At 41.5% G+C, this 16,229-nt stretch overlaps 1 protein-coding gene across 5 annotated transcripts in view; it reads left to right on the top strand.

Annotated features, from left to right (window-relative positions):
• The window catches only part of ANXA7 (annexin A7), a 38,958-nt gene extending 31,640 nt beyond the window's left edge, over positions 1 to 7,318 (top strand). For all 5 annotated transcript variants that reach the window (NM_001320879.2, NM_001320880.2, NM_001156.5 and 2 more), the window contains 4 exons: positions 2,218 to 2,388; positions 2,465 to 2,540; positions 3,396 to 3,508; positions 6,202 to 7,318. In NM_001320879.2, the coding sequence (NP_001307808.1) occupies positions 2,218 to 2,388; positions 2,465 to 2,540; positions 3,396 to 3,508; positions 6,202 to 6,324 (483 nt within the window). In that variant the 3' untranslated portion in view covers positions 6,325 to 7,318. The remainder of the gene's footprint in view (positions 1 to 2,217; positions 2,389 to 2,464; positions 2,541 to 3,395; positions 3,509 to 6,201) is intronic.
• The last annotated feature ends 8,911 nt before the right edge of the window (positions 7,319 to 16,229 follow it).

Genomic DNA, 16,229 nt, shown 5'->3' with positions numbered 1-16,229 from the left:
GTGAACTGTGATCGCACCACTGCATTCCAGCCTGGGCAATAGAGTGAGATCCTGTCCTTAAAAAAAAGAAAAGAAAAAAAGAAAAGAAGCACACTTAGATGATGAAGGTGTATTTGAAAGAGATTATGTAAATGACTAGCATGCTGATTCAATATCAAGAGTTATTGCCTATTGTGCTAGTGCACAAGATTGGACCATCTGGAGGGATCTAAAGGAGAGGAGGGGCTCTTAAGAGCCAAGGGAGGGGCTGGGTGTGGTGGTTCATGTCTGTAATCCCAGTACTTTGGGAGGCTGAGGCGGGTGGATCACCTGAGGTCAGGAGTTTGAGACCAGCCTGACCAACATGGTGAAACTCCATCTCTACTAAATACAAAAAATTAGCCAGGAGTGGTGGCACCTGTAATCCCAGCTACCTGGGAGGCTGAGGCAGCAGAATCGCTTGAACCCGGGAGGCAGAGGTTGCAGTGAGCTGAGATTGTGCCATTGCACTCCAGCCTGGGTAACAAGAGCAAAACTCCATCTAAAAAAAAAAAAAGGGAGGTAGCTGTGGAAAGGATAGTGGATATGGAAATGAGAAAGCAAAGTAAATGGGTTGAAGGAAATTGAATTTACCTAAATCAGAGTAACAGGAGGGCAGTAGGTTAGGATTTAAAAGAAACAAGAAGGAAAACAGACAATGCTAAAAAATGGCTATTAAGATTTTACATGAGGTGCTGAGTCTCTCTTTATGCAGAGTTCAAGGCCCAGCCCTACCTTTTCCAGGGCATGAGTAGAGGAGTAACTTCCTGAGAAAGTGTGTGTGAATCCAAAGGCAATAATCTGGGAAATTTTTTGTGAGTACCTTTTCCTGTGTTATATTCAGTCGCCCATGTAGAATGTGCCTCTACGTATTCCTTGTGCCAGTTGCTCAGAAGACAGTTCTTCAGCTTCAAGGAGGATTTTTCCATCTTATTCCAAAGATGGTCCCTGAGACTCTAAAAGGCAGCCTTTTCTTGTTTGGGTTTGTCTTTCTGTTTTTGAGAGAAACCAACTGCTCATTAAGCTTAAACTCTTCCTTCCTCCTTCCTTTCTTCCTATTCCAGGGAAGAGTGTGGTATACAAATAGGCACAGTCTAACAGAACATGAGTTATTTGTAGCTGCTTCTGTAAAGCTTATGTGTCATTTTTATGCGTGTATTTATGGTAAATACTTACATATTAAGATTATAATTCGATGGCTGAGTGTGGTGGTGTGAGCTTATAGTCCCAGCTACTCTGGAGGCTGAGGTAGGAGGATCACTTGAACCCAGGAGTTTGAGGCTATGATCATGTCTGCAAATAGCCATTGCACCCCAGCCTGGGCAACATAGTGAAATCGTGTCTCTTAAAAAAAAATATTATACTCAGATGAAGAAAAGAAAGTTTATGAAGCCTCCATATTATATCCTCCCTCCCTCCTGCCCTAGAGTTAAATTTCTTGAGGGCAGAGACCCTGTCTCTCCTGTGTCCCTACCGCTTAACACAGTGCCTGACACAAAGAAAGTGCTTAATGTCTCTTAGTCGCATGAATGAATAAAAAGTAGAACTCAGTACAGTGCATATTGATCTTAAATTCCAGCTAAGAGAGCTGTTTCTTCATTTGAGTGGTAGTTAATATCTCCTAGTAGAGATATTTTTGTTTAAACATTTTGGGTTTAATTTAGCTCCCAAAAGCCCTCATTTTTAACATAACCTCATTAAACCGTGATCTTATATTATAAAATCCAGTTGACAGTATAATAAATTACTAGTTATATTTCCATGCATAGAAATGAAGCATATGCATGACAGACATTATGGATTAATCTTTAATAAATTATCTCTTTAGGCCAGGCCCAGTGGCTTACATCTATAATCCCAGCACTTTAGGAGGCTAAGGCAGGAGGATCACTTAAGCCCAGGAGTTAGAGACCAGCACCTGGGCAACATAGTGAGACATGCTGTCTCTACAAAAAATAAAAAAATTAACCAGGCATGGTCGTTTGTGCCTGTAGTCCCAGCTATCTGGGAGGCTGAGGTGGAAGGATCACTTGAGCCTAGGAGGTTGATACTGCACTCCAGCCTGAGTGACAGAGCAAGACCCTATCTCAAAAAAAAAAGAAATAGTCTCTTTAAATCCAAAAGTGAACTAGATTGGAAAAAAAAAATTTAGTAGAACTATTATTTATTTCTTCCAATTCCTGCCTTTCTCTTTTGCAGGGAAATCGTGATGAGAACCAGAGTATAAACCACCAAATGGCTCAGGAAGATGCTCAGCGTCTCTATCAAGCTGGTGAGGGGAGACTAGGGACCGATGAATCTTGCTTTAACATGATCCTTGCCACAAGAAGCTTTCCTCAGCTGAGAGCTACCATGGAGGCTTATTCTAGGGTATGAGCTTTTCTTTTGAAGATTTGGCTTCTGCTGTAAGATACAAAAATATTTAACCCTTTAATTTTGTTTGCAGATGGCTAATCGAGACTTGTTAAGCAGTGTGAGCCGTGAGTTTTCCGGATATGTAGAAAGTGGTTTGAAGACCATCTGTAAGATATTTTTGTGCTTTGCTTTATTTTCTTTTTAAATGAGTGGGAGCTTTGAATAGTTGTTCCCATTAAATGTTGATAATATAGTCCACGTGGAATCTGCTTAGGCAGTAGCTGATCTAATCCTTTGGGGTTTGTTTTTTGTTGTTTGTTTTCTTTATTGGATAAGCCCCCAGAAACAGTCCTGTGTTTTTACATACAATTTCCTATGAATGGTAGTTCTGTGATCAAACAGGGCTGTTTGGGGATTATTTGGCCTTCATCTGTAGGCCTGTCTTGATAACTGTGCCAGAATACCTGATAGTTGTAGCACTTCCTTTAAAGAGAAAGGGAAAGTCCTGAGGAACTCACAGTGTCACCACGAAGCAGTTTGAGTCCTCAAAACAGATATTTCAGGTACTCAGCCCAGTGAGACTCATTTCCTTTTTGAAGTTAACCAGTTTCTGGTGGTCTAATACACAGATGTCTAACAAAGTGAAAGTTTCATTCTCATGGATATTAGGACTAAGGGGAGTATTAGTAACACTTTGGTATTAACAATGGAATGTTGGGCCAGGGGCAGTAGCTCACACTTGTAGTCCCAGCTACTCAGAAGGCTGAGGTGGGAGGATCACCTGAGTCTGGGAGGCTACAGTCAGCCATGATTGCACCACTGCACTCTAGGCTGGATGACAGAGTGAGAACCTGTCTCAAAAAAAATCAAGGAGAGCATCTGAACACTCTTAACTCACCCCATGTTTCTGTGATGATTACAGAGAAAATAATCAAAGGCAGGCTATAAGTGATAAATGAAGCTGGAGGGGTACACTTCTTGTGAGATCATGATTCCATGTCTCAACCATCTCTAACTTGCAGTGCAGTGTGCCCTGAACCGCCCTGCCTTCTTTGCTGAGAGGCTCTACTATGCTATGAAAGGTGCTGGCACAGATGACTCCACCCTGGTCCGGATTGTGGTCACTCGAAGTGAGGTGAGGCAGGCCTCTCTCTTTTTGTCGGGTCTTACTTGATGTTCAATGTTGATTTCTTAAAAGTTCCCCAGTTGGTTGTCAGTCCCTCAAAAATGATAAGAAAGAGCTCTCTTTGCCACCTAAAAGAGGTGGTATAAAGAACAGAAAATTCACTTTCCTCATGCTGTGGGAGAAGCTTGCATTAGTGAAATAGGCCACTCTACCCTAATGAAGATAATACTAACAGATTTTACAACTTGAGAACGTCAATGGAGAATACAAATTTATGGGAAGTTAGACATTTGTCTTTCGATTTTCATTTTGCTTATATAAAAATTAGATGAAAGGCCTATGTAGATTAATCCTAGTGGATATCAACATTATTTAAATTTAGCATCCTTTATTAATAATAAAACAATTTTTAAAATATTCATAATTGTCTCAAGTATAGCCTCATTTTTAAAAATTGTACTTTATATATTTACTCCACTTACAAAAAATTTTTTTTCTCAGAAGAAATGACATTTGAATTTTTTTTTTTTTTTTTTTTTTTTGAGACATGGTCTCACTCTGTCACCCAGACTGGAGTGCAGTGGCACGATCTCAGCTCACTGCAACCTCCACTTCCTGGGTTCAAGCAATTCTGTCACCTCAGCCTCTCGAGTAGCTGGGACTACAGGTGTGCGCCACCATGCCCAGCTAAGTTTTTGTATTTTTTTGGTAGAGATGGGGTTTCACCATGTTGGCCAGGCTGGTCTCGAACTCCTGACCTCAAGTGATCCACCTGCCTCGGCCTCCCAAAGTGCTGGGATCACAGGCGTGAGCCACCACGCCTGGCCTGAACTTTTAATTGAAAGAAAACATGGCGGGGTGTCGTGGCTTACTCCTGTAATCTCAGCAGTTTGGGAGGCCAAGGCGGGAGGATTGCTTGAGCCCAGGAGTTTGAGACCAGCCTGGGCAACATGGTGAAACCTATTTCTACAAAAAACACACGCGCGCGCACACACACACACACACACACACACACGCCGGGGCGTGGTAGCCTGGGCAACATGGTGAAACCTATTTATACAAAAAATACACACACACACACACACACACACACGGTGAAACCTATTTATACAAAAAATACACACACACACACACACACACACACACCCACACCCACCCCCCGGCATGGTAGTCCCAGCTACCCAGAATGTTGAGGTGGAAGGATCACCTGAGCCTGGAAGGTCAAGGCTGCAGTGAGCCGTGATCGCACCACTACACTCCAGCCTTGGTGACAGAGACCCTGTGTCAAAAAAATACCCTAAATTATTATTATTATTGCGTGTTTTTTTTTTTTTTTTTTTTTTTTTTTTTGAGATGGAGTCTCGCTCTGTCACCCAGGCTGAAATACAGTGGCATAATCTCGGCTTACTGCAACCTCTGCCTCCCGGGTTCAAGTGATTCTCCTGCCTCAGCCTCCTGAGTAGCTGGGATTACAGGTGCGTGCCACCATGCCTGGCTAATTTTTTTGTGTTTTTAGTAGAGACTGGGTTTCACCATGTTGGTCAGGCTGGTCTCGAACTCCTGACCTGATGATCCGTCTGCCTCGGCCTCCCAAAGTGCTGGGATTATAGGCATGAGCCACCACACCCGGCCAAAAACCCTAAATTATACTAAAGAAGGTAGATTATTTTTAAAGAAAACAACCAGAATATGGTATTTTGAAAAAAACTTTGTTCTTTAACTTAAATTTTCAAAGCAGGATGTTTTAAGTTGTGATAAAATATACATAACATAAAAATTTACCATTTTTAAGTAGCAGTAAGTACATTCACATTGTTATGCAACCATCATTACCATTCACCTTCAGATGTTTTTTCAACTTGCAAAACTGAAAATCCATACTCCTTAAACAGTAACTCCCCATTCTCCTTTCTCCCAACTGCTGGCAACAAACCATGTGACTTTCTGTGCCTGTGTTTGACTACTCTAGGTACGTCATATTGGTGGAATCATACAATATTTGTCTTTTTGTGAGTGTTGTCTTTTACTTAGCATAGCGTCCTCAAGGTTTATTCATGTTATAGCATGTCAGAATTTCCTTCCTTTTGAGACTGAGTAATTAAATAGTCTATTGTACGTGTATCCCACCTTTTGGTTTTTTTTTTAATTCATCTGTGACACTTGGTTTGTTTCTGCCTGAATAATGCTGCTATGAACATGGATGTACAAATATCTGTTCAAGTCTACTTTCACTTATTTTGAATATACCCAGAAGTGGAATTTCTAGGTCATATTGTAATTCTTTGGAAGTGTTTTTGTTTTGCTTTGAGGAATTAACCATATTAGTTTCCACAGCAGCTGCACCCTTTTACTTTTCCATCAACCTGTGTACAAGTGTTCCCATTTCATGGCATCCTTGCCAATACTTACTATTTTTTTGGTTTTGATAATAGCCATCCTATCAAATGTTTTTAAATGACTAATATCTTTGGAATAATAGATGAAACTAGTACTACCCTGACCAAGTATTTTACAGAGCTGTGAATCAGACCTTCATTGGGTAGTGCTAGCATTGGTATGAGTGCCAGCCATAAAATGTCAGTCACTTGGTGTTTTCCCCCCCAAGTTTTGATTATTATTAAGATCTTATTATTTAAAAAGAATTTTAAGAAATGTCAGTTGTCACAGATGTTTTTCTGACAGAAATATTATTTCTTATGCAGATTGACCTTGTACAAATAAAACAGATGTTCGCTCAGATGTATCAGAAGACTCTGGGCACAATGATTGCAGGTGACACGAGTGGAGATTACCGAAGACTTCTTCTGGCTATTGTGGGCCAGTAGGAGGGATTTTTTTTTTTTTAATGAAAAAAAATTTCTATTCATAGCTTATCCTTCAGAGCAATGACCTGCATGCAGCAATATCAAACATCAGCTAACCGAAAGAGCTTTCTGTCAAGGACCGTATCAGGGTAATGTGCTTGGTTTGCACATGTTGTTATTGCCTTAATTCTAATTTTATTTTGTTCTCTACATACAATCAATGTAAAGCCATATCACAATGATACAGTAATATTGCAATGTTTGTAAACCTTCATTCTTACTAGTTTCATTCTAATCAAGATGTCAAATTGAATAAAAATCACAGCAATCTCTGATTCTGTGTAATAATATTGAATAATTTTTTAGAAGGTTACTGAAAGCTCTGCCTTCCGGAATCCCTCTAAGTCTGCTTGATAGAGTGGATAGTGTGTTAAAACTGTGTACTTTAAAAAAAAATTCAACCTTTACATCTAGAATAATTTGCATCTCATTTTGCCTAAATTGGTTCTGTATTCATAAACACTTTCCACATAGAAAATAGATTAGTATTACCTGTGGCACCTTTTAAGAAAGGGTCAAATGTTTATATGCTTAAGATACATAGCCTACTTTTTTTTCGCAGTTGTTTTCTTTTTTTAAATTGAGTTATGACAAATAAAAAATTGCATATATTTAAGGTGTACAATATGGTGTTTTGATATCAGCATTCCTTGTGTAATGATTCCACAATTAAGGTCAGGCTAATTACGTATCTGTCACCTTGACATAGTTACCATTTTTTCATGTGTGGTGAAAACACTTAAGATCTACTACCTTAGCAAATTTTAAGTGTTCAGTACATTATTAACTATAGATACTGTGCTCTACATTAAACCTCTAGCATTTATTCGTTTTATAACTGAAAGTTTATACCCTTTGACCAACATCTCCCCATTTTCCCCACCTCTCACCTGGACAACCACCACTGTGTTTAAGTTCAGCTATTTTAGATTCCACGTATAAATGGTATACAATATTCTCTTTCTGTGTCTGGCTTATTTCACTTAGCATAATGATCTCTAAGTTTATAATTCACATTGTCACAAATGGCAGAATTTCCTCCTTTTTTTTTTTTTTTTTTTTTTGAGATGGAGTTTCGCTCTTGTTCCCCAGGCTGGAGTTCAGTGGCACAATCTCAGCTCACTGCAACCTCCGCCTTCCGGGCTCAAGCGATTCTCTTGCCTCAGCCTCCCGAGTAGCTGGGATTATAGGCATCTGCCACCACTCCTGGCTAATTTTTTGTTTAGTAGAGATGGGGTTTCACCAGATTGGCCAGGCTGGTCTTGAACTCGTGACCTCAGGTGATCCACACGCCTTGGCCTCCCAAAGTGCTTGGATTACAGGCAAGAGCCACCACACCCGGCCAGAGTTTCCTCCTTTAAGGCTGAATAATATTCCATTGTGTATATATACTATAATTCCTTTATCCATTCATCCATCAATGGACACTTGAGTAGTTTCCATATCTTGGTTATTGTGAATAATGCTGCAGTGAACATGGGAGTAAAGATACCTCTTTACTGATTTCATTTCCTTCAGATACATACCCAGAGGTGGTATTGCTGGGTCATATTATTTTTAATTTTTTGAGAAACCTCCATACTGTTTTCTATAATGGCTATACCAATTTACCTTCCCACCAACAGTGTACAGTGGTTCCCTTTGCTCCACATTCTTGCCAACACTTGCTATGTCTTACCTTTTTGATAATACCCAACCTAATAGGTGAAAATTCCATGTGTACTTGAGAAGAATGTATATGCTGCCATTGTTAGGTATAGAGTGTTCCGTATGTGTCCATTAGATCTAGTTTATTGTTCTATTTAAGTCCTCTTTTTCCTTACATCTGATTCTTCTATCCATTATTGAGAATGGGGTATTGAAGTCCCCAGTTACTGTTGTAAAACTGTTTCTCCCTTTAATTCTATCAGTTTTTGCTTCATATATTTAGGTGGTCTGTTATTAGGTGTGTAGATGTTCATAATTGTCATATCTTCTTGCAGTATTGGATTTTTTATTATATAATGTTCTTTGTCCCCTGTAACTTTTTTTTTTTTTTTTTTTTTTTTTTTTTTTTTTTTTGAGAATGGAGTCTTGCTCTGCTGCCCAGGCTGGAGTGCAGTGGCCTGATCTCAGCTCACTGCAACCTCCGCCTCTCGGGTTCAAGCAATTCTCCTGCCTCAACCTCCCGAGTAGTGGGGATTACAGGTGTCCGCCAGTCAGCACGCCTGGCTAATTTTTGTATTTTTAGTAGAGACAGGTTTTTGCCATGTTGGCCAGGTTGGTCTTGAACTCCTGACCTCAGGTGATCTGCCCGCCTCAGCTTCCCAAAGTGCTGGGATTACAGGCCTGAGCCACCATGCCCGGCCCCTATAACCTTTTTTGATTTAAAGTCTATCTCGTCTGATATTACTGTAGCCTCCCCTGCTCTCTTTTGGTTACTGTTTGCATGGAGTATCTTTTTCCATCTTTTAACTTTTAATCTGTTTGTGTCTTTGGATCAAATGTGAGTGTTTGGTAGACAGCATAAAGTTGGATTTTTGTTTGTTTGTTTGTTTGTTTTGAGATGGAGTCTCACTCTGTTGCCAGGCTAGAGTGCAGTAGAGTGATCTCGGCTCACTGCAACCTCCACCTCCCGGGTTCAAGTGATTCTCCTGCCTCAGCCTCCCTAGTAACTGGGACTACAGGTGTGCGCCACCACACCCACTTAATTTTTTGTATTTTTAGTTGAGATGGGGTTTTACCATGTTGGCCAGGATGGTCTCGATCTCTTGACCTTGTGATCCGCCCACCTCAGCCTCCCAAGGATTTTTAAAAATCCATTTTGCTGGCCGGGCACGGTGGCTCAGTCTGTAATCCCAGCACTTTGGGAGGCCGAGGCGGGTGGATCATAAGGTCAGGAGATCGAGACCATCCTGTGGATGGTGAAACCCCATCTCTACTAAAAATACAAAAAAAAAAAAAATTAACCGGGCGTGGTGGCAGGTGCCTGTGGTCCCAGCTACTGGGGAGGCTGAGGCAGGAGAATGCTGTCAACCCAGGAGGTGGGACTTGCAGTGAGCTGAGATTGTGCCACTGCACTCCAGCCTGGGTGACAGAGTGAGACTCCGTCTCAAAAAAAAAAAAAATCCATTTTGCCAGTCTTTGTCTTTTGTTTTTGTTTTTGTTTTTGTTTTCAGATGGATCTCGCGCTGTCGCCCAGGCTGGAGTGCAGTGGTGCAATCTTGGCTCACTGCAAGCTCCGCCTCCCGTGTTCACGCCGTTCTCCTGCCTCAGCCTCCGAAGTAGAGCTGGGACCACAGGTGCCCGCCACCACGCCTGGCTAATTTTTTGTATTTTTAGTAGAGACGGGGTTTCACCGTGTTAGCCAGGATGGTCTCGATCTCCTGCCCTCGTGATCCACCCGCCTCAGCCTCCCAAAGTGCTGGGATTACAGGCGTGAGCCACCGCGCCCAGCCCAGTCTTTGTCTTTTGATTAGAACGTTTAATCCTGGCTGGGCGTGGTAGCTCACACCTGTAATTCCAGCACTTTGGGAGGCTGAGGCCAGCGGATCACTTGAGATCAGGAGTTCAAGACCAGCCTAGCCAACATGGTGAGACCCCGTCTCTACAAAAAATACAAAAATTAGCCGGGTGTGGTGGCATGCGCCTATAATCCCAGCTACTCGGGAGGCTGAGGTAGGAGAATTGCTTGAACCCAGGAGGTGGAGGTTGTAGGGAGCTGAGATCATGCCACTACAATCCAGCCTGGGCTACAGAGCGAGACTCCATCTCAAAAATAAAAATTAAAAAAAAGAAAATGTAATCTATTTACATTTAAAGTAATTACTGATAAGAACTTCTGTTGTATTGCTATTTGTTCTCCATATGGCTTACTGCTTTTTTGTCCCTCATTTCCTGCATTACTGTCTTTTGTGTTTAGTTGTTTTGTAGTGAAACATTTAAATTCATTTCCCTTTGTTTTGTGTATATTCTATAGCTATTTTCTCTGTGGTTACCATGGGGATAACATTTAACATCCTAAAGTTATAACACTAAATTTATGCCAGCTTCAGTGACATATACAAACTCTTCTAACAGCTGTGTCCTCACCCCTTTTGGTTGATGTCACAAAATTACATCTTTTTACATTGTGTGACCCAAAACATAAACTAATTCTTTTAAATACATTAGTTTCTTAAATTACGTAGAATACAAAATTTGGAGTTACAAACCAAAATTACAGTTATGCTAGTGTTTAGTTTTTTTTAATGTGTTCATCTCAAATCATGTAGAAAACCAAAAGTATCGTCACAGACTATTATTACAATAACATTAGCTTTTATAATTGCCCATGTATTTACCCTTTATTGAGATCTTTATTTCTTCATGTGGCTTCAAGTTACTGTCTAGTCTCCTTTCATTTCATCCTGCAGGACTAGGACTTCTTTGAGCATTTCTTGTAGGGCAGGTCTAGTGGTAATGAACTTTCCCAGCTTTTATCTAGGAATGTCTAAATTTCTTCCTCACTTTTTAAGGACAGTTTTGCCAGATATAGGATTCTTGGGTCGACAATTTTTTTTTTAGCACTTTAACTATATCATCCAATTCTTTCTGATGAGAAATCTGCTGATAATCTTATTAAAAATATCTTGTATGTGGCAAATCACTTCTCTCTTGCTGATTTCAGGATTCTCTCTTTGGATTTAGAAAGTTTGATTAAAGGCTGGGCACGGTGGCTCACGTCTGTAATCCCAGCACTTTGGGAGGCTGAGGCAGGCGGATCACGAGGTCAGGAGATCAAGACCATCCTGGCTAACACTGTGAAACCCTGTCTCGACTGAAAATACAAAAAATTAGCTGGGCGTGGTGGTGGGCGCCTGTAGTCCCAGCTACTCGGGAGGCTGAGGCAGGAGAATGGCATGAACCCGGGAGACAGAGCTTGCAGTGAGCCGAGATCGTGCCACTGCACTCCAGCCTGCGTGACAGAGCGAGACTCCATCTTAAAAAAAAAAAAAAAAGAAACTTCGATTGATTAAAATGTGTCTTAATGTGGCTCTCTTTAAGTTCATCTACTTGGAGTTCATTGAGCTGCTTGGGTGTTTATATTCATGTCTCATAGAACTTGGGAAGCTTTTAAGCCATTATTTCTTCAAATATTTTCTCTTCCTATTTCTTGCCCATTAGAATTCCCACAATGTGTATGATGGTCCACTTGATGGTGTTTCACAGGTCCGTTAGGCTCTGTTCACTTTTCCTCAATCTTTTTTCTTTCTGTTTTTCAGACTCAGTTTCCATTGTCCTGTCTCCAATTTGACTTACTCTTTTTTTTGCTTGTTTAAATCTGCCTTTGAATCCTGCTAGTGAATTTTTGCATTTCAGTTATTGTATTTTTCAGCTCCAGAATTTGTTTGGTTTCTTTTTAGGTTTTCTATCTCTTTATTGATATTTCCATTTTCTTTATACATCATTTTCTTGGCTTTTTCCATATCTTCCTTTAGTTTTTTGATCATCTCTTTTATTTTATTTTATTTTTTTGAGACAGGGCCTCACTCCTGTCGCACAGGCTAGAGTGCAGTGGCGCAATCACAGCTTAACTGCAGCCTCGACTTACCTGGCTCAGTTGATCTCCCATGTCAGACTCCAAGTAGCTGGGACTACAGGTGTGTGCCACCACATCCAGCTAATTTTTTGTATTTTTTAGTAGAGATGGAGTTTCACTGTGTTGCCCAGGCTGGTTTCAAACTCCTGGGCTCAAGTGATCTGCCCACCTTGGCTTCCCAAAGTGTTGGGATTACAGGCATGAGCCACCACCACACCTGGCCTTATATCTTTAAGACAGTTTTTTGTTTTTGTGTTTTGAGACAAGGGTCTCGCTCTGTCACCCAGGCTGGAGTGCAGTGGCACAATCCAAGCTCACTGCAGCCTCAAACTCCAGGGCTCAAAGTGAGCCTTCTGCCTCAACATCCCAAGTAGCTAGTTAGGACTATAGACACAGGCCACTGCACCTGGCTGGCTTATTTTTTAATTCTTCTTCTTCTTTTTTTTTTTTTTTTCTCTAAGAGACAGGGTCTCACTGTGTTACCCAGGCTGCTCTTGAACTCCCAGCCTCAAGTGATCCTCTTGCCTTGGCCTCCCAAAGTGCTGGAATTATAGGCATGAACCACCACACCCAGCCTTTAAGACAGGTTTTAAAATTTTTTTGTGTAATAGATCTGTCACCAGGTCTTTTTTTAGAGACAGTTTCTGTTTATTTTTGCTTTTGATTGGGGATAGTTTCCTGTTTCTTTGTATGCCTTGTGATTTTTTTCATTGAAAATTATACATTTGGGTTTGATAATGTGGTAACTCTGGAAATTGGATTCTCCCCTTTCCCCAGGGTTTGCTATTTTTTGTTACTGTATTTGTTTATTGTTTTTTGTTTTTGTTTTTTAATTGTTGTAGGCTGTCTCTGGGCCAAGGACCATACTGAGGTATAAACTTAAGGTCTTCTCAGGTCTTTTTGAGCCTGTGCCTTTCTCTGGGTGTGGGTGGCCACTTTCTAATTTTCCCCATATATGTAGTTGCTTTTGAATGTCCTTGTCTTTAATGTCTGCCCCCCAAAGGGAGAAAAAGAGAAAAATGAAGGGTTGGGATAAAGACACACGTACCAGACCTTTCAGTCCCCTGGACGTCACTTCACCTGGAGAGGGAGAGACTTGCAACAATTGGGGGAGATGCAACAATGGCCCCTGCTTCTTTGTCTATACCCCTGTGATCAGAAGCAGTGTTCAGTAATCAGCACAGATATCTCATATTTGGAGGATAGGATACTTTTTTTGCCTATCCTGGCTCCCACAGGCTATGTGCAGGCTCCTACAGGAACAAATGCACACTCGCCTCCCACAGGATGGGTAGCTACTACTGTGCTAAGAGCGAAAATTGAAAAAGTCCAAATTGCCATCCAAGTTTTCCTCTGGAAGTTGCAAACCTTCAATAGACTCCAGAATTCCAAAATAGTTACCTCAGACAGCCTGGGTGGGGAGGCAGATTTCTGGTGCTTCCTACTCTGTCTGCCATCTTCCCAGAGTCCTTTCCCAAGCAACATATTTTTAAACTTTTAAAAATACGAGCTATAATTCATATATACAATTCACCCTTTTAAAGTGTACAATTCAGCTGTGCATAATCCCAGCACTTTGGGAAGCCAAAGCGGGAGGATTGCTTGAGCCCAGGAATTTGAGACCAACCTGGGCAAGATGGCAAGACCCCGTTGCTACAAGAAAATAATTTAAAAAATTAGCTGTGTGTGGTGGTGCATACCTGTGGTTCTAGCTGCTTGGGAGGCCAAGGCAGGAGGATGGATCATTTGAGCACAGGAGTTCGAGGTGACAGTGAGCTATGATTGTGCCATTACACTCCAGCCTAGGTGACAAAGTGAGACCCCGTCTCTCAAAAATAATGTGTACAATTCAATGGTTCTCACCATACTCACAAATTTGTGCGACCGTCACCACAATCAATTATCGAACATTCTCATCACCCCAAAAAAGAAACCCCGTACCCAATCAGTAGTCATTGCTCATTCCTCACCCTCCTACCCAGCCCCTGGCAACCACTAATCTAGTTTCTGTCTCTATGGGATTTGTCTATTCTGGACTTTCCAAATGACTGGAATCATACAATGTGTAGCCCTTTGTGTCTGACTTCTTTCATTTAGCATACTGTTTCTAAGGTTCATCTGTGGTATAGCATGAATCAGTACTTCATTCTGTTCTGTGGCTGAATAGTCCATTGTATAGTTATATTGCTTTTTTTTCTTCAGACAGAGTCTTGCTATGTTGCTCAGGCTGGGGTGCAGTGGCACAATCTTGGCTCACTGAAACCTCTGCCTCCCGGGTTCAAGCAATTCCCCTGCCTCAGCCTCCTGAGTAGGTGGGGTTACAGGTACGTGCCACCACGCCTGGCTAATCTTTTGTATTTTTAGTAGAGATGGGGTTTCACCATGTTGGCCAGGCTGGTCTCGAACTCCTGGTCTCAAGTGATCTGCCTGCCTTGGCCTCCCAAAGTGCTGGGATTATAGGCATAAGTCACCACACCTGGCCATTTATATCACATTTTTAAAAATTCATTCATCAGTTGATGGGCATCTGGATGGTTTTCACCTTTTGGCTATTATGAATAATGCTACTGTGAACATTCATGTTTAAGTTTTTGTGTGGACCTTTGTTCCCAACTATCTTGGCTATACACCTAGGAGTAGAATTGCTGAATCATCACCTGAGGTCAGGAGTTCAAGACCAGCCTGGCCAACATGGTGAAACCCCGTCTCTATTAAAAATACAAAAATTAGGCCGGGCACAGGGGCTCACATCTGTAATCCCAGCACTTTGGGAGGCCTAGGCAGGTGAAACACAAGGTCAACAGTTCAAGACCGGCCTGGCCAACACAGTGGGACAACTCTGTCTCAAATGAAAAGAATTGCTGGATCGTATGGTATATCTATGTTTAACTTTTTTTTTAAGAGACGGAGTCTCACTCTGTCTCCCAAGCTGGAGTGTAGTGGCGCCATCTTGGCTCACTGCAACCTCCATCTCCCAGGTTCAAGCAGTTCTCCTGCCTCAGCCTCCCAAGTACCTGGGATTACAGGCACACGCCGCCACACCTGGCTAATTTTTTTTTTTTTTTTTGTATTTTAGTAGAGATGGGGGTTTCACTGTGTTGCCCAGGCTGGTCTCGAACTCCTGAGCTGAGGCAATCCACCCACCTTGGCCTCCCAAAGTGCTAGGATTACAAGCGTGGGCCACCGCACTTGGCCTATGTTTAACTTTTTGAGGATCTGCCAAACTGTTTACTCAGGTGGCTGTACAATATTATAATCCCATCAGCAATAAAGTTTTGAAACTGGGGGGTTAATCTGATTAGATCCACAAAACAGCCTGCCCTGCAATTTGGTCATTTGCATTTTGTTTTTTTCTATGTAGCTGAAGACCACAGCATTTAACCTTTGCTGGCTTCCTGTATAATCTATAGATAACATATGTCACCATGGTAACGGTCACTTAAGTTGGTTTTCAGGAACTTGGGGCAGCTCCTCTCCTGTTCAAACTGGTTGTGACCACTGACCCTTCAACCAGGCCTGAGCAAATGCCCAAGAGGTAGCCTTTTGACATCACAGGCTAAACACTCCACCCTCAAATGATGCTAATGTCACCATTTTCTGAACAGTCATCCTATGAAGTGCCATGAATCCTGACTACACTTGCGCAGATCAGTGGATGATTCATTTTCCCCCACTGCCAATCACCTTTCCCCATGCCTTAGACCACCCTGCTTCTCTAACCCATAAACATCTCTATGCCTTATTTTCGGGAGGCAGATATGAGAGCTATTTACCTGCCCCCTTGCTGGGCTGCCTTGTGGATAAATCTTTTCTCTTTTGCAAAATGTGCCATCACAGTGATTGGTTTACCCAGCACGGGCAGAACAAACCTGGTTGATAATTTTTCTCATCCTCGCCAACACTTACTGTCATTGTCTGTGTTTTTCACTATAGCCATGCTGGTGGATATGAAGTGGCATCTGATTGTGGTTTTCATTTCATTTCCCTTGTGACTAATGAGCCTATTTTTTGTGCTTATTGATTATTTGCATATCTTCTTTAAAAAATATGTGTTCGAATACTTTGCCCATTTTTAATTTGGGTAATTTGTATTTCTGTTGAGTTGTAAAAGTTGTTTATATATTTTGGATAGTAGACTCTTACCTGATACACAATTCACAAAATACTTTCTCCCATTTCATAGGTTGGCTTTTGTTTTCTTGATGGTGTCTTTTGATGTACAAAATTTTTAAATTATTTTTTCTTCAAGACTTAAAACATTTTGGCTGGGCATGGTGGCTCACGCCTGTAATCCCAGCACTTTGGG

The sequence above is a fragment of the Homo sapiens genome, chromosome 10 (assembly GCF_000001405.40).
Source record: "Homo sapiens chromosome 10, GRCh38.p14 Primary Assembly".
Classification (NCBI taxonomy): Eukaryota; Metazoa; Chordata; class Mammalia; order Primates; family Hominidae; genus Homo; species Homo sapiens.
This window is presented reverse-complemented; position numbering and strand designations above follow the sequence as displayed.